This window comes from Homo sapiens, chromosome 6 (genome assembly GCF_000001405.40).
Source record: "Homo sapiens chromosome 6, GRCh38.p14 Primary Assembly".
NCBI classification, from domain to species: domain Eukaryota; kingdom Metazoa; phylum Chordata; class Mammalia; order Primates; family Hominidae; genus Homo; species Homo sapiens.
This window is the reverse complement of record NC_000006.12, coordinates 87,210,691-87,229,198: the sequence shown is the minus strand read 5'-3', so window position 1 is coordinate 87,229,198 and position 18,508 is coordinate 87,210,691. Positions and strand designations below refer to the sequence as shown.

Sequence of the window (18,508 nt, the reverse complement as noted above, 5' to 3'; positions counted from 1 at the left end):
ATTAAGAAAATAATTCCATTTACAATTGCAACAAAAACAATAAAATAAGAATAAAGCTAACCAAGGAGGAGGCGAAAGACCTGTAGACTAAAGATTATAAAACATTGTTAAAAGAAATGAAATGCATAAATAATTGGGAAGGTATCTTGTGTTCATGGATGATAAGACTTAATATTATTAAGATATCCATACTAGGCAAAGCAATCTATAGACTTAACACAATCTCTATGAAAATCTCAATGGCATTTTTTTTTGCAGAAATAGAAAAATGCATCCTAAAATTCATATAGAATCTTTAAGCCAAAATAACTGACAAAGAACAACAAAGTTGAAGGTCTCACACTTCCTGATTTGAGATGTATTACAGAGCTCAAGTAATCAAACACTGATGATACTGGCATAAAGACAGACATGTGGACCAATGCAATAGAAAAGAGTCCAGAAATAAACCCTATCATATATGGTCAAATGATCTTTGACAAGGGTGCCAAGGTGACTCAATGGGGAAAGAACAGTCTCTTCAACAAATGGTGCTGGAAAAATTAGATACCTAAATGCAAAAGAATGTAGCTGGACCCTATTCCTGCACCATATACAAACATTAACTCAAAACGGATTAAAGACTTAGATGAAAAATCCAAAATTACAGAACTCGTAGAAGAAACCATAGAGAAAAGCTTTATGACAATAGACTGGCAATGATTTCTTGGCTATGACACCAAATGTGTCATAGGCAACAAAAGCAAAAATAAAACTACATCACACTTAAAAACTTTTGTGCAAAGGACACAACACAGTAAAAAGGCAACCTTTTCACCAGAGTGAAAAGGAATGAGAGAAAATATTTGCAAATCATATCTCTGATAAGGGATTAATATCAAGAATATATAAAGAGCTCCTTTAACTCAACAACAACAAAAAAATCCAGTTAAAATATGGACTAATAACTTGAATAGATATTTCTCAAAAGATAACATACGAATGGCCAACAAGCATACGAAACATCAAAAATCATCAGAGAACTGCAAATGAAAATCACAATGAGATATCACCTCACACCCAGTAGGATGACTACTACGAAAAAAACAGAAAACAAGTGTTGGTGAGGATGTGGATTAACTGGAACCTTCGTACAATACTGTTAGGACTGTAAAATGATGTACCCTCTATGGAAAACAGTACAGAAGTTCCTCAAAAAATTAAAAATACAGCTACCATACGATCCAGCTATCCCACTTCTGGTTATACCCAGAAGAACTGAAAGCAGGCTCTTGAAGAAGCGTTTGTATGCCCATGTTTATAGTAGCACTACTCACAATAACCAAGAGGTGGAAGCAATCCAAATGTCCAACTACGACAGATAAATAAATAAACAAAATGTGGTATAAACATATAATGGAATATTATTCAGCATTAAAAAGTAAGCAAATCCTTTCACATGCTACCACACGGATGAATCTTGAGGACATTATGCTAAGTGAAATAAGTCAGTCATAAAAAGAAAAATATGATATGATACTGTTTATATAAGGTATCTAAAGTACTCAAAATTATAGAAACAAAAAGTAGGGTAGTGGTTACAGGGGCTGAGGGCTAAGGGAAAAGGGGAGTTGTTGTTTAATGGGTATAGTTTTCACCTTGGGGTTCAAGATGAAAAAGTTCTGAAATATGTTTACAACAATGTGAATGTATTTGACATTACCAAACTTAAAAACAGTTAAGACGGTACATTTTATCTTGTGTGTGTGGTTTTTTTTTACCACAATTAAAAATATATTTAAAAAAACACAATTCAGCATTGTTGGTCAAAAAAAAATCCAAATTAAGACATTTAATAAAACACAATGCTTCAAGTTCTAGAATACTGGTTGCCCAGAGAGTCTAATTTAATTGGTATGAGGTAGGGCCCTGGCACTGGTCTATCTAAAACCTCTCCAGGTAATTCTAATTATAGCCAGGATTGAGACTACTGCTCATGGTAACTTCCAAATGACCAATTAGGGATAATCAACTTTGACCCCACCTCTTACCCTTTCCTGAAGAAAGATGTTACATTTTCAGGAAATAGAATTAACTTTCAAAGATTAGAAAGTATTTCATATCATAGATGAACTTAGTATGCTACAATTTTTGCGTAAAATAAGATTTAATTATGAGTATTAGATTTAACTAAATTCTGACAGATTTTTCCATGTAACATTATAAAATATACCCATTAAAGCCAGGCATGGTGGCACACGTTTGTAATCCCAGCACTCTGGGAGGCCAAGGCAGGTGGATCACCTGAGGTCAGGAGTTTGAGACCAGCCTGGCCAACATAGTGAAACCCCGTCTCCACTAAAAATATAAAAAATTAGCTGGGCATGGTGGTGCATGCCTGTAGTCCCCGCTACTCGGGAGGCTAAGGGAGGAGAATCGCTTGAATCCAGGAGGCGGAGGTTGCAGTGAGGCAAGATCATGCACTGCACTCCAGCTTGGGCGACAGAGGGAGACTCCGTCTCAAAAAAAAAAAATCTATATATCTATATATCTATATATCTATATATATATAGATATATAGATATATATACACACACTAAAAAATAATGTCCTTGTCTAGGAGCTTTAAGAAACCAAAGAGTGCGTTTAAAAATCCTTTTCAGTAAAACTGAAAACTTTGGGTCATATAATTAAATACTTATATTTAATTATAAAATAGTAGGGTATAATCTGCATGTAATCAGATCTGACCTCACCCTATTTACCTGGGCAACATTAGTTATCGCTAGCTCTCTCCTCCCATCCCCTCTCCTGCTAAAATATTATTGCATCTTAGGTATGCTAATATCTAGCAAACTAAGAGCAATTTTTCCATTTTCACTTTAAAATGCAAAGTTTATTACTAAATAAGGGCTTATTTCCCACAAAACCATGAATGATTTGTAAGTATCATGGAAAATCTAAAGCTTTAGAAATTTCCTTTGAAAAGAAAAGAGTTCTGGGGGGAAAAAAGAGAACTGCAGTGCTCAAGATGCAAGAAAGGACTGGCAAGCTGACAAAACTGCAATTTATGCAATTGCAAATTAACCCAATATAGAAGTAGAGGGAAAGTGCCTAAAAAATTCAGTGTGACTATAATAGGGAGTTGTCTTAGAGCTTAGATTTTAAAATAATACATACAGAAGAAGGAAAAACAGGTTTAAGACCAAGGATGCACCATGAGTGTCAGACACCTGGTACTAACAACCTATGCAAAATGTTAATAAAAGTAAAACCCAAGATGACACCTAACTCACCAAAAATGCTGAGAACAATAAAACTGAGCATGGTGAGACCTTCTTGGGAAAGTCTGCTACTTGGGTTTGATTATGTGCTATTTATGATAGCAGAGAAAAGTATATTTCTTCTACTCTTACTACTCTACTTCTTTGATAAGCTTAAGATTTAAGAGTAGAACACACCATAGAATAAGTGAAAACAGATGGCAAAATGTAATTTTCAAAACGGGGCTGATGGTACTTCTTGCAAAACTGTAGAAACGGCAACAGATGTAATCCTGAATAAGAGTTTAAAAATTAATTATATTAAAAAAGATGGGTTGTGATTGTTCAGAAAAAGAAGTGAGACTAGTAAGAGCCAAGATGAATTCACTAAACATAAATTAAGTTACACTTTTCACAGAAATTCATCTAAAAATGGATCATATACCCATATGTAAAATGTGAAACTATAAAATTTCTAGAAAAGACCATAGAAAAATCTATATGGCCTTGGATTTCACGATGAGATTTTAGATAAAATACCAAAAGCATGATCCATGGAAGAAAAAACTGGGAAGTAGGACTTTATGAAAATGTAAAACTTCTGCTAAGTTGCTCTTAAGAGAAAGGACAAGCCACAAGAGGATTCTTTCACAAGAGGGAAAGAAAAGATTTGCAAAACACATATCTGAAAAAGAACTTGTACCCAAAATATACAAAGAACTGTTAAAACTCAACAATAAGAAAACAAACAACCCAATTAAGAAATAGGCAAGAGATCTGAACAGATGCCTCACCCAAGATATACAGATGGCAAATATGCATATGAAAAGATGTTCAGAATCATTTGTCATTACAGAAATGCAAATTAAAATAACAATGTGATATCACTACATGCCTATTAGAATGGCTAAAATTCCAAAAACGGACAATACCAATTGTTGGTAAGGGTATGGGGCAAAAGGAATTATTCATTGCTGATGAGAATACAAAATGGTACAGGCACTTTAGAAGACAGTTTTTTTTCAAAGCTAAACACAGTCTTACCATATGACATAGCCATCATACTCCCATGTATTTTCACCCAACTGATCTGAAAACTGACATCCACACAAAAACCTGCATGCACATGTTTATAACGGCTTTATTCAAATCACCAAAAACTGGCAGCACATACATCAAAAACAGCATCCATTACATGGCTGTACCACAGTTTGTTTAGCCATTCACCTTTAACAGGTGAATGGATACTGTGGTATAGCCATATAATGGAATATTATTTAGTGATAAAAAGGAATGAGCTAATAGCTCATTGGTTTAACAGACACGTAAAGCCCTGGATGAATGTTAAATATACAATGCTATGTGAAAGAAGCTTGAATGAAAAGCTTTAATTACGTGACATTCTGAAAAAGGCAAAACTATAGAGATGGCAGATAGATAAGTAGTTGTCAGGTGTTTGGGAGAAGGCTGGATAGATGAAACACAGTTTTTTTGTTGTTTTTTTTTTTAGGGAGTGAAACTACTATGTATACTACTGTAATGGTGGACACACGACACTATTTTCATTTGTCAAAATCTATAAAACTATACAACACAAAAGAGGGAATCTTAAGGTATGCAAATTGAAAAAAAAGTTATTTAGGAGGTTCAGGAAGCCCAAGATGGAATACAGAATACAACAAAATAACTATATTACAAATGTATGAAAAGAACCTCACTGAAAGGAATGGAGAAATAAGGTGCTGACCTAAGTAACTTTGGAAATGAGTGGAGAATGTAAGAATAAAGTAAAAAAGAACTGTACAAAAGCACTGTACTGTAGTTAATAAAGTTTTTTCCTATAGGGGTATACTAGGATTAAGTAAATGGATGGCCAATGGTGGAAAAAGCTAGTCTGAAAGGCTACATACTGTATGATTCCAATTACATGACATTTTGTTGAAGTGGGAGGTCACAGATAAGCAAGGGAAGGAGGCTACAATGATCTTTGTGTTAATGAATTAGACTTGGAGACATCAGTAAGAATTCATATTTAGTTTAATATAGATCTTGGTTTCTAATACCATTCTCCAATAAAAGGAGCAAGTCCTCCCTAGAGAAACGGTTGATTCCAGGACTCAGGCAGGAAATACGCCAGATGAGCCTGGAGCATATTACAGTGCCAGAAAGCAAGGAAGTAATCACACAAAAAACAAAACCCATTGATGAGGGACACAAGAGTCAAAGGAAAGAGCTGCCAACACTGGAAGAAACTGAGCAACAAAATAAAGTAGTATCAGATTATGACCAAAGAATAAAATAAATATATATAAGGCCATACTAATATAAATGACTGATTGAAAAAATAAATAGGGAGGAGACAAATCTCCTGTGTAGAATTCCAGATAACATGTAGATACTGCTTCCTCAAGGAGGTGGAGCATAACTTCCCACTTGAAGATGGGCTGCACATTGTAATTTCATTCTAAAGAATATAACATGGAAAGGGAGAAAAGAGTAACTTCACAGTGGAGAAACCTGACACATGCTGCCACAGCTAGGTGGTCTAGGTTCACATCAACAGTGATAAGTCGGCTGGGTGTAGTGGCTCATGCCTGTAATCCCAGCATTTCGGGAGGCCAAGGCAGGTGGATCACTTGAGGTCAGGGACTCGAGACCAGCTTGGCCAACAAGGTGAAACCCCATCTCTACCAAAAAATACAAAGAAGTTTAGCCAAGCATGGTGGTACATGCCTGCGGTCCCAGCTACTCGGGAGGCTGAGGTGGGAGAATCGCTTGAACCCAGGAGTTGGAGGTTGCAGTGAGCTGGGATTATGCCACTGCACTCCAGCCTGAGTGATGGAGTGAGAGACCCTTTCTCAAAAAACAAACAAACAAACAAACAAAAAACCTCAAAAAACCTCAAAACAGTGATAAGTCATGTTGACAACAGATACCCTTTATATAATGTGATGGCAATGGTACTTTACCTTTCTGGTCTTCCTCCTCAAAACCCATAACCCCAGTCTAATCATGAGAACAACATCAGACAAATCTCAATTGAGGGACACTCTACAAAATACCTGACCAGTACTCCTCAAAACTGTCAAGGTCATCAAAAACAAGGAAAGTCTGAAAAACTGTCACAGCCAAGAGGAGCCTAAGAAGACATGACGACTAAATGTAATGTGGTATCCTGGATGGAATCCTGGAATAGAAAAAGGACATTAGGTAAAAACTAAGGAAATGTGAATAAATTATGGATTAATTAATAACAAAGTATAAATATTAGTTTATTAATTGTGACAAATGTACCAAACTAATGTAAGATATTAATGAGAGTGAAAACGGGTTCAGGGTATATGGAAACTCTTCACAATTTTTCTATAAATTTAAAACTATTCTAAAATAAAAACTTTTATGTAAAAAATAAATTAGGTCAGACTAACCTCAGTATTGAATAATCTTACATAAAAGAACTTTAGCCAAACATTTGTCAAAAACAAGGAAAGTCTGAAAAACTGTCACAGCCAGTTTTTCACAGCCACAAACACTTGTTATGGTCTTTCACCAAATCCTTTAGACAGAAAAGGAGAACCATGGGCCAGCATTATGGGAAAATAGGTATATTTGATAAAACAATAATAATCAACGGATATGGATGTAAGAACTAAAGGCAAGCAGAAAGATTTTTTTAAGTATCCCAGAAGCTTGATTTCTGGACATGACCTTTTTATGGTTATGATGAAGAACCTGGATGCCAATATGGTATATGAAAATGAAGTCTGCAAAACGAGAGGAAATTGGGAAGGACAAAATCCTTGAATAACAAAATCAGGATTAAAAAGAATCTTGACAAGTTGGGGAGACAGAAGGGATCTAATATGGTAAAATTACACAGGAAGAAAAAGGTAATACACTTGTACACCAAAAGAAAAAGTATACAAACGTAGATTGAGAAGACATAATTAAAAGTTAGCATTTATTTTTTAAAAATTTTAAATGATTTTAGTAACCTCATTGAGTTGTGAGAATTACATGGCTGCCCAAAAACGTAATGTCATCTTACATTACATTAACTTAAGTATAAATTGTTAGCATGAAGAGAAAGAAGATACCTCTGACCTCAAAACTGGCCAGATCATATTTAGAGTACAGATGAAGTGCTGAGATTTACACATTTAAGAGAACTACAAAAACATAAAATGCACTCAAAAAAGAGGAATCACGATTGTAGATTTATAATCATGCCACATCAAGGTTTTTAGTCTACAAAAGAAGACTTCCATAAATATGTACACCTGCTATATATCCACAAAAATAAAAAATTAAAGAAAAGAAAAGAAGACTAAGTGTAGACATGATGGCAATCTTTAAAAATCTCAATTGCTACCAAGTGAAAGAGAGATTTATACTTTACTATGGCTTTAGAGGCAGCACCAGGTCCAAAAGCTGGAAGCTCCAAAAATTAGTTTTCACAATTTTCACAATGAAGATTTTCTAATCGCAGGCTAAGAATAGACTGAACTACATAAGTACCATACTCTAGAAGTGTTTGAGCAAAAGCTAATTTATTAGTGATGTTTTAGAGGGGAATTAAAATTGAGTAACAAATAATTGAGCATTAAGCACCTTTCCAATCCCAAGATTATGACTAAAGAGAGGCATAAGTAATATTTAAGTATGCCTAAAGTTCCTTTGATATTCAAAACCATCTACTTGACTTGTATTGGTTTAGTTATTAGAGCTACCTCACTCTAGGATACTCAAATGTTGAAGTGAAACCAGTATCTTTGAGTCCTGTCCACCCTTACTCTCCCAAATCAAAGAGTATTTCTCAGTTGAGCTGGGCTTTAGTAGGTCCAAAATCAGTCAATTGAAAAAAATAAACTAAAATAACTCAGAATTAATCAGATTAGTCACTGTTCAAATACTACATCAAAACTTCAAAGGCTTCACTATAAACAAACGAATGAGTATAACCTATAGAGGTATACTCATTTTCTGGGCTCTTATTATTCTCTTCAAACTTGCTGCAGGCTAGATTATGGGTGCAAATCTCTCCATCATGTAACATCTCTCTGGTTGTTTCATGAGCTGTATTGTATTAGTTTGGCTACCTACAATCCATCTACTTTGCAGAAAACTCCCCTGGCTGCATAGTCCTAATTATTCCAGTGGCTATGACAAGATGAAGGTCAAGAAATAAAGCAGCACAGAGATGGGCAGAGACATTGGTTAACAGATACAATGTTAGGCACATTCAAACAAGTAAAGAAATCAAGCACATTATCTTTTCAAATAAAGTTGAAATCTCTGCTAGGATAAAGGTTCCTTTTTCCTGCTTTAGCATAATATGTGAATTTGGCAAAATGCTGTTCAGAAACTGACAATGGGAAAAGGAGTTACTCCTTTATTTAGAGTAGGTGCAACTCTATTTTATTAGGCTAGATGCAACAGGGCATTAATAGGGAGAGGCTGAGGTCTGATTTTAATTCCTGGCTCTGCCTCTCATCACTGGTAATGTGGTATGAAAAAAATACTCATCTTTCTGAACCTCTATTTTCTCATCTGAAAAACAGGGACAATAAGGATCCTATCTTTTTCAAAGCATTCACTATGATGGTTAAATAAAACCATGCATATAAAAGCACTTTCCAAACTGTGAGGAACTTGTAATTTGATATTATTACTAATATATCACATCTAATATTTCTAAAAGCTGAGAAGATCAGAAAGTATAATTTGGTGCTAGAACTAAAGCATACTGGTATTAATCTATTGGGAATAAAGTTAATATGGCAAGGCAAAAAAAAAAATCTAAGATTCTCAACTTTTAAATTTATTGTTAGGCTGGGTGTGGTCAGTCATGCCTGTAATCCTAACACTATGAAAGGCTGAGGTGGGAGGATGGCTTGAGCCCAGGAGTTCGAGACCAGCCTGGGTAACACAGGGAGACCCTGTCTCTACAAAAAATAAAAATACAAAAACTAGCTGAGTGTGGTGGCATGTGTCTGCAGTCCCAGCTACTCAGGAGGCTGAAAGGATCACTTGAGTCTGGAAGTGAGGCTGCGGTGAGCCATGATCGCACCACCGCACTCTAGCCTGGGCCACAGGGCAAGACTCTGTCTCAATAAATAAGTAAATAAATAAATTACTATTATTAAGTAATGAAAGGATCTCCTTCCAAGGTCTCGAGAACACTGTAGCTAATTTTTGGATATCCATGAAGGTAGGGGATACTAAAAATAAACCTCTTGTGAAAACTAAGAAACAAGTACACTGCTAGAACGATCAAGAAAGCATGGAGAAAATGGTGAAGACAGAAATCCAGTAGGAATAACCAATCTAAAGAGAAGTTTGAAGATTGGCTGGGAAGGCTTTGGGTAAACATCAAAGTACCAGAAGAGCTCACAAGCAATAGACTTAACACTCCCTTCTCATGGCCTTCATAACTTGCTATCACATAGCAAAACTTCCTAGAATTTGCCACTGATCAACAAGAAAAGCAGCAATAAATGACGGAAGAAGCTTACAGTGGTAAATACATGCTTTTCCATTAGATATATTACAATTTTTTAAAAAAATTTACTTCTTTAGTTAAATACCTTGGGAAAGGTTAGGGTGATATTTGGGCACATTTTCCTAAATAATCTCAAGAAAAGTATCTAGAATACAACTGTACTTTTCTTCAGGGTCTATATAAATTTTAAACTCTAAAAAACATTAAGTGTTATACATATAAGTAATTTAGCCATCTACTTTCAATAGGATACCAGGCTGAGCTCATAAAAGAAAAACGCAGGGGATACAATAAGACTGAGCAATAAACTGAGAAAGCATTTTAATCTTAGAGACAAAAGACTTAAAGAGTTCTAGTACTGACTTCTTATTTTATTTTGAGGAAAAGCATTTCAGCACCCTATTTCTGTTTCTCCCAACTATCAAATAAATTATCAAATATAAACTGGATTGCCACCTGTCAGAAGTTACAGAAGGAATTCCTCTGTTAAAAAGATGTTGGGAAAAAATTCTAGTTTATCTGTTAATCTATGATTCTATAATCGTATAAATTCATCTTCCCCAAAATAAAATAAAGGCGCAGGGCCTCAAGCACACCTCAGAAGATATTTAATTAAATGGTCCTTCTTTGGAATATCTTGAGATAAATTATATCAAAACAACTTTAACACTTATTTTTTCTAGTCTAATTATTCTTTTTTTTCTCTGTCTCTCGAAAATTTACCTTTATCCTTATCCAATGGTTCCTGGGAAAGAATAGTGCACAGTACCGGGTTTTTCCACACCCCAGTCTCTTGAGCTAGAGTAGCTAAAAAATGCAATTCACAGCTGCCATTCTCCATCAGCTTTTCATGAGCTACCTATAAATATTAAATAAACATCCAAAGAATTACAACAGATTTTTAAAAGCAAGCTTATCAGGCTTTAAATATAACACTAAACTTCTGAAAAGACTTTCATCTTAAAAATTTCACATCACATTACAAAGTACTCAATTCCTTCTAATATTTAAAGATGAATTTCAAGGATAAGAAATACATCATTTACAAATCTTAAATAAATATAATGTATTTACAGAAGTAAGTCTGTATTTTTTCTTCCCCAAAATCTAAGCCAGGAGTAAAGTTATTCCTCAAGGAAGCAATCAGAATATCCATACGCATAAAAGACCTTACACATTTTATATCCTCTGTGTTTAAAAAAGTTTTCCCCCAAATCTACCATTAATAAAAAGATTTGCATAACGAACTAAGTGACAACTTATGCATATTCCAATAAAAGGGAATTACAAAAAGAAAATAACTAAATGCATGATTTTTTCATTTATTCATTGTATAGTTCTGGCAATTTCACATTAAAGCTGATGATGAACCTTGCCTGCTAGTTGTTTCCAAGTGTTCATGAAATGGGCATAGTCTTCAGTCCACAAAAGACCAATAGTTTTTATTCAATTCAGAAACTGTTTATTGAGAATTTCTATGAACAAAGTTCTAGAGAAGAGCAACTAGTCCCTGACTTTATGGGGCTTATCCTCTGGGTAAAGAAATGTTTAAATAGTTAAAACACAGGGAAAATAAATGCTGTTAAACAGGCATAAACTAACCTTGAGGAAGCTCAGAAATGGGAGCAAAGTGTTGTAGAAACTCTTAAAGCTGCATGCTATGTTCAAACAAAAAGTCTAATCCTCAAAGCCATCCAAATATTCCCATTCCAACAAAGTTCAGGTGCTTTACTAAGTTTTCTTTAAGTAACTGAATGTAGAGGGATGTAAAGAGTTACTTCCTTCATAATCCATCTAAAAAGGTATTAACTAGTCCTTTTGTTTCAAAAAGAAAGTGTAAAATTTTATCTTACGTTGGCAAACAAAATCAGTAGCATTTGGAATTCTGGTTATGCATATTAATTCTGTGGTAGGGTGTATCTGAATGGCAAGCAATAGGAAGTTTCAAAATAATTTACCTAAAAATACTTTTTGGAAAAAAAACCTAAGATACAAGTTACGGATATCCGAAGTAGAATATGCATGATCAAAAAGTTAGTTGCAATGTGACAAACAGGACAAGACACTTTCATTTCAACAAACAGTTATTAAGCATCTGTTATGTGTAAGACATTATGCAGAATCCTATGACGTTAAATAAGATATGAATTCCACCTTCAAGGGCCTGTTGCACTTGATGTAGATTTTAATGTTTAATATTAAAACAGGAAAGTTTATTTCTCTGCCTAACTATAGCTTATTTTACATGCTTCTAAAGTTTAAGGCTATACCTCTTTAATATATTTCTTACAGAAAATCTTAAGGCCTAAAGATATTTTAAGAACTCTGGAAAGAGAAATGGAGAGAAAGAGAACTATAGCTTTGAAACTAGCTGGCAGGAGCATTCTTTTTAACTAACCAATTAATCAAAATTTAGTTGAAGCCATAATACATCCAGCTCTAGTGTTGAAACAAAATTTAACATTCTTGAAAAAACTTCAAGACTACTAACTGCTAAATTGTGTAGTACCTCATATAAGCAGAATAACAACACTAAATAAAATAGACAAAGCATGTGTTTTCAGACAGAAGAAAAGGCATGGGCTTTGGAATAAAGAACCTTAGTTCGAATAACTACTATGTGATCTTAGCTAGACAAGTTTGGGCATATAATTATTTTGGAGTATGAGCCTCAGTTTCCTCACCTTTAAAATGGGGAAAATATACCTATCCACACAAATTTTCATGAGGATTAAATGATATATGTGAAATTCTTATAAAGCACATTGAAGACTTTCAGAAACCAGTTTAACTGTTTCTAAATCCAAATGAGGGCACTTTCTTTTGTGTTCCCTTGCTGCTCTTACAAAGCCCTAATTATCTGATCATAACGATTATTCAATCTATCTAAATGTATATATACATTTAGCAAACATTTGTTGAGATCTACTCTATGTAAGATACTAGTGTCAATAAGATCAGTAATTAATGTCTGTCATTATTGAGATGTCTTAAAGTTTAACTGAATAATTTTTTTAAGAGTAAGGAAAACTGACATAAGATATACCTGTATTAAATCTAAAGATAAAGATTCTCACCTGCACCAGTGTCTGAAATTGTTCCCACTGTTTATCTGATAACTCAACAGGCAGACACAGTAAAAGTTCAACACAGCTTCTAAAAAACAAAAAGTTGGTAAGGAGAGGAATAATTATTAAAATTCAAAGGAAATTATAAAACCAGTAATTCTAGTATCATAAGCAGACTCCCCATAACTAATCTATTTAAAATTAAACTATAAGACTTGAGATTTAATGTTGTGTGTGTGTGTGTGTGTGTGTGTGTGTGTGTGTGTGTGTGTGTGTGTCTATGTATTTTTAAAGCTAAATCTAGTTTATTTACTCAAAGGTCTACTCACAATGCCAAGCGTTCCAGAACCAAGGCTACATTTTCACATTCAGAGGTAAGATAAGGTCGGGCTTTAACATAACTTTGGATAGCCACTGTGTATACCTCCAATAAAGGTAAAGGATCTTCTGAAGTTTTCCATTTCTCTGCATATTCTAGGAGTGTCTGTTTTGGAAGGAATAATAAAAAGTATTCAAAATGTAAATCAAAATATACATTGACTCATCAGCTGTTTTTTCCTGAAAAATTTTGAAAAATACAGATTTTTATTTATAAAAACAAAAAGTAGTTTATATTGATTAAAATATTAAATGAAATAAAGTCATAGTCATATTTTTGGCAGCTCTCTGTAGGAGAAAAGATTAGTATTAATTCATCCAGCAACAGCATAATTTCATCAAGGCTAGTTTTAAATAGGGCAAGAGTTATCTCCTCTATTCCCTAGTAAGTTTTAAAAGTTATTTTAAAAAGACATCTGAGCAAGTAACAGTTGACCAGGCATGCAGTGAAGAATTTGAAATAATATCTGTTTTCTATTTCTCGTAGAAGCAGCAGAAAATTCAATATTGAACAACAAAATAAATCATGTATGGTCAGCAAAGACGTGTCCTTTTTCAGTCCATAAAAAAATAACAGTACATACAAATTAATAATTTTTTGACAAGCACTAGCAATTAAAAAGTCATCCAAAGACTTTCAACATATAAAAATCAACATTAAAGATATTAAAGAATTATTATAAGGTTAAGTAATTTTTGTAATAGTGTTTTTTTAATTAAAAATATTTCTCATCTTTCAATTAAGTGAATATTTTAAATTTACCTCATCAGAATTACTTTAAAAGATGCTATTTATCTTACTGAATAAGAGATGGGAGATAATGGAAAGATAAGTTATACAGAAACACACATGTTAAGACTCTTACCTAAAAGGTTCTATAGTTATGCTAAATGAAGAGAGATTCTAATTAAATGTTTTTATAACACAGAAGACTGCCACAATTGGTCCTCTCCACACTTCAGGGTTTAAGACTCATTTAATCAAACATATGGAAATTCAGGTTTCTTTTCCTAGAAAATAGGGTATTGAAGGAAAAAAAAATTTCCTGAGGGCCTGTATCCTCTGGCATACAGAAGCACTTTTAAAAACTGGAGGGAGGGAAGGGGTGGGGGGGATTGTATTCTACTACCAAAGCACTTACTACCTTGACCTCTCTACTAACTTCCAACTAACAGAATTAGTAAGTGATTAGACGAAAGCAATAGAAAAAGTAAGCTGGTAAACTAAAGGGCAACAAAATAACTACTCACCGACTGAGTAGCCATATATTCACAGACCTTGGCTCTCAACTAATCCTTTCCTTTCCTTTCCCCCTAAGAAGTGAGGGCAAATACTGATTGCTAGAGACAGAAAGGACAGAAAACCTGCAGCCACAGTGCAGGATGTAGGATGGGGTGTCGGGGGATACTCAACTAGGTCCAAAACCAACTCCACAGCAAAATTTCTCAGTAAAGTTGAAGTGGAAAAACGTGTTTCTCAGATATCCAGGAAAAAACACTGCAATCTTTCCCAGATGAACCCTGAAACAAATTTGCTCTCATCCACACTTGCACCTCACCTCACAATCCCATTATATCCCAAACCTTCATGGTACAAAATAGATTCTACGTGAGGATAAAAACAACCAGAGATAAGTTCCTTAGCTCAATCCACATGAAACCCAAAGGTAAAGCTATTCCTGATCTTTTAAGTTCCAAGCAGGGACAGAGATGCTGGGGAAGAGGGGAATCCATGTTTCTGTACCCTCTTGGCATTGTTAAATGTAATGATGAACAAATGACATTGTAGCTGGTCATGAGATGAAGCTGCCTACATTATACCCAAGCTGCCTACATTATATCCAAGATTATTCAGCTTCGATGTAAACACAGAAATTAAAGCCTTTTATTTGCCTAATCATGTCACTATTATACATATAATCCCAATCCAGAGACTCACTTTTGCAGGTGCTGGGGCTCAGAAACTGATACCCCAAACTGTGGCACTTTGACATGCTGAAGAAGCAGCCTCAGAGTCTCTCCGACCTTCCCCTGTTTCTTCCCATCTCTTGATCCTCTTTCTCGCAAAACACAGTATGAAGTTGTTCTGTGAAGTTTCCTTATCTGTCTAAAGTCCAGGCCCACCAAAGAAGAAGAAAATTACCTTTGATCCTGTTAAATATAGTGAACCCCAAGTTTCTCTTCAAAGAATCAGTATGTCAGTATGTTCAGCTCTCTTATTCTTTGATTCTCCATTTTAAAGTTTAGCTTCCTGGTTCTCTTCACCCCCTTGCTTCTAAGTTTCAGTAAACAACTTTCCCACCAGTCCTAATCAGTAGTTCACATCTGTTCCCTGGTCACCTGGTCCATCCTGACTCATCCCGGTCACCTGCTTTACCTGAGTCACCCCTGGTCACCTGCTCTGACCTAAGTCACCTTTAGTTACCTGTTTCTAACCATCCTTCCCGCCAAACTACTCACCCTACCACTCTGGCTCATACCCCCTGCTCTTTTTAAAATAGCCAGTTGGAATTAGCTTAGACTGTGCGGGCCAACCCTAGCCAATACAGGAATGACACAGCAGTAGGGGATACCTGCGTCAGGAACAAGAACTCCTTCCCCTCCCCTGTCCGGGTGTGGTCTCACCATTGTTCCATCTGCAAGGAGCACCCTTTCCGCAGAAAGTAAAAATTGCCTTTCTGTGAAAATTAAATTTATGTTTGAGTGCTATTTCTTTGTGGCACCGGGAATAAGCATTTCTAACAGTCCCCTCCCTGAGTTTTCATTAACTGAACTCATAGGGCAGGAAGACGGAAGTCTGTCAACACACCTAGCCAGACTTTTGTCACAAACCACTGAATGCTTAGCAGGCTCAATAGACTTTGTCCCAGGCCACTGTATGTTCAAGTCCATTGAATTCCCCTAAAAATAATTTACAACCCTCCTCTAAAATCACCCACATTTCCCCACCTCCCTTTCATTAATAAATCTGTATGCCATTTCTCCTATTAATCTGCTGTTTGTCAGGTGATTTTCAGTGAACCTTCAGAGGATGAAGGGAAGTTTTCTTTTGACCCCTACACAGAAGAATTCTTAACTTTCTTCTAAACAGCCCTCAAATAAAGAAGAACTTATATTTCTTATGGATCTGAAATGGTTATACTCTCCAATCTTTTGACCAGCTAGATGATTCAGAGGACAATGACAGAGAACTATGGACTGCTAGAAATGAAAACATTCTCTTGCATGGTGATTTTGATTAGAGCAATTAAAACCTGGGATTAGTTCCTGGTTGAACCAACATGAACTAGGAAAGATTATACAAGAAAATTTGGAATTCAATGATGCAACCATTCAATCAAAAGGGATGTTAAGATTCATGACCAGTCTTTGAATTCAGTTTGTGCCACTGGCAGGCATACAAGTATGGTATAATAAAAAATAACTGGTCTTTGTCCTAGGTTCTTAGCACAAAGCTCCTAAAACCCTTGAAATCTACGTAAGTGTCTTTTTCATGTTAATGAGATAACATTAGGCTGAGGAGCTTCTAGATAGCTTTAAGACAGGGACTGGTCACTACAAAGACCATGCCATGATTAGAGAGATGGAACTTGTAGCCCCACCCCCCAGTCTTGCAGGAGGTAAAGGGGCAGAGATTGAACCCAATCACCAATGGCCAATGATCTGATCAATCATGGCTATGTACTCCACAAGACCTCCTAAACAACAGTAGTCTAAGAGCTTCTGAGTTGGAAAACACATCCATGTGCTGGGAAGGTGGCACATCCCAACTCCACAGAGACAGGCTCTGGTGCTTGGAACCCTTTCAGATCTCACCCTAGGTACTTCTTCATCTGGCTGTTCATTTGTATCCTTTATAATACCTTGTAATAGTAAGTATAGCATTTTCCTGAGTTCTGTGAGTTATTCTAGCAAATTACTGACCCTGAGGAGGGGGTTGTGAGAACCCCTAACATTGTAGCCAAGTTGGACAGACTTGGGGACCTGGTACTTGCGACTGGCATCTGACCAAAGTCCTACACTTTTTTCCCCATTAAACCAATGGTTTTTGTTACGACACCCCTTCAAGAATGAATGAATGTCTATACACATATATTTATATTTATACACATATGAACAGACAAAGATAAATGTCACTGTAATCTGGTTTGAAGATGAGTTGGGGGGAGATGGCATAGAGGGGAAAAGACAAGGAACAAAACCTAAATGTCTTCCTGCAATGCACCATATTGCTTCCATTAATGAGTAACCTGTAAGAAAAATATGGTAAGAAAATTTAAAACTGTTTTTTGATGAATGACTGATGGAACTAGGGATGCTTTATCTGGATACTAAATAATATTTACTGAATATTTACCATGTGCTAGGCGTTGTTCTAAGAGCTTTACATGTACTACCTATTCAGTAATTAGGTAAATTATAGTAATATGCTTATATTAAAAATTAACTAACCAAAAGTAGTGAAATAAAAAGCCATAAGACCACAGAGCTAGGAAAGGCAGAGAAGGGATTCAAATCCTCATAGTCTGACTTCAGAGTGTTCATTCTTAACTACTATGTGATACATTTCTGGAGAAATAAAAATTGACTTGTAAATCCAATTTTTAAAATTTGGATTAAATTTTAGATTAAATTAGCCAAATTCACAAATCTAGAGGCTTGTCACATAAGAGAGGAGTTAATTTTATTCTGTGTGTCTCACAGGTCATACCAGGACCACTAGGTTGAAGTTTAAAAGAGACACTTTCCTGTTTCCTATAAGACAGAACTACCAAACCATTAGAGTAAACCAAAAACAGAACAAGTTGGCCTCCTGAGACAGGTGGTGGCCCACGAACTGAAGTTATTCAAAGAGGAGCAAGATGATTCAGAGTTGAGGATACTGAAAGGAGTCATATATTAAAGACACACTCCACCATACCAGAAGGGACTACACTAGTGAGTATATGTGTGTGTTCATAAACTAGTGGCTCATGGATGTTTTGATGTGCACATTGTTCAAAAAGTATTTGAATTAGTTTCTAATATTTAGAAGTCATATATTTTACATAAAAACTTGGGTTTCTGGCTTTTCTTTTAAAACAAAAAAAATTGGCAACTTTGGGCCCACATCCCAGCATGGCAACTAGCTAGGGCTGAGTGATGACCCAAGATCTCCCACTGAGATCAGACACAGGCTCTGTGGGTGCTACATGCCTCACCTCATTCTTTGTTTGTTTGTTTGTTTTTGAGACAGAGTCTTGTTCTGTTCCCCAGGCTGGAATGCAGTGGCATGATCTCGGCTCACAGCAAGCTCCGCCTCCCGGGTTCACGCCATT

The 18,508-nt window shown here is 35.5% G+C and overlaps 1 protein-coding gene across 11 annotated transcripts in view, besides 4 other annotated features; it reads right to left on the bottom strand.

The window, feature by feature from the left end:
- Positions 1–18,508, bottom strand: part of ZNF292 (zinc finger protein 292) — a 110,379-nt gene that overhangs the window by 36,745 nt on the left and 55,126 nt on the right. For 2 of the 11 annotated variants that reach the window (XM_047418459.1, XM_047418458.1), the window contains exons 2-6: positions 15,130–15,297; positions 14,057–14,201; positions 13,142–13,296; positions 12,822–12,900; positions 10,468–10,603 (exon numbers count right to left, since the gene is read on the bottom strand). In XM_047418459.1, the coding sequence (XP_047274415.1) occupies positions 10,468–10,585 (118 nt within the window). In that variant the 5' untranslated portion in view covers positions 10,586–10,603; positions 12,822–12,900; positions 13,142–13,296; positions 14,057–14,201; positions 15,130–15,297. Of the gene's footprint in view, positions 1–10,467; positions 10,604–12,821; positions 12,901–13,141; positions 13,297–14,056; positions 14,202–14,604; positions 15,110–15,129; positions 15,869–18,391 lie in introns of those variants that run through there. The other 9 variants (NM_015021.3, XM_017010584.3, XM_047418457.1 and 6 more) reach the window with 8 other exon arrangements.
- Positions 7,979–8,068: a silencer, noted in NCBI's record as "silent region_17372". NCBI's record gives its function as "represses an Ori minimal core promoter by ATAC-STARR-seq in GM12878 lymphoblastoid cells {active_cell/tissue: GM12878}" and the evidence as "EXISTENCE:reporter gene assay evidence [ECO:0000049][PMID:35858748]".
- Positions 14,824–16,023: an enhancer, noted in NCBI's record as "P300/CBP strongly-dependent group 1 enhancer chr6:87922894-87924093 (GRCh37/hg19 assembly coordinates)". NCBI's record gives its function as "activates an origin of replication core promoter dependent on BRD2, BRD4, P300/CBP, MED14 and CDK7 cofactors, with strong dependence on P300/CBP, by STARR-seq in HCT116 cells {active_cell/tissue: HCT116}" and the evidence as "EXISTENCE:reporter gene assay evidence [ECO:0000049][PMID:35650434]".
- Positions 16,067–16,818: an enhancer, noted in NCBI's record as "NANOG-H3K27ac hESC enhancer chr6:87922099-87922850 (GRCh37/hg19 assembly coordinates)". NCBI's record gives its function as "activates a minimal SCP1, AML or CMV promoter by ChIP-STARR-seq in naive H9 embryonic stem cells {active_cell/tissue: H9 hESC(naive)}" and the evidence as "EXISTENCE:reporter gene assay evidence [ECO:0000049][PMID:30033119]".
- Positions 16,819–17,572: an enhancer, noted in NCBI's record as "NANOG-H3K27ac hESC enhancer chr6:87921345-87922098 (GRCh37/hg19 assembly coordinates)". NCBI's record gives its function as "activates a minimal SCP1, AML or CMV promoter by ChIP-STARR-seq in naive H9 embryonic stem cells {active_cell/tissue: H9 hESC(naive)}" and the evidence as "EXISTENCE:reporter gene assay evidence [ECO:0000049][PMID:30033119]".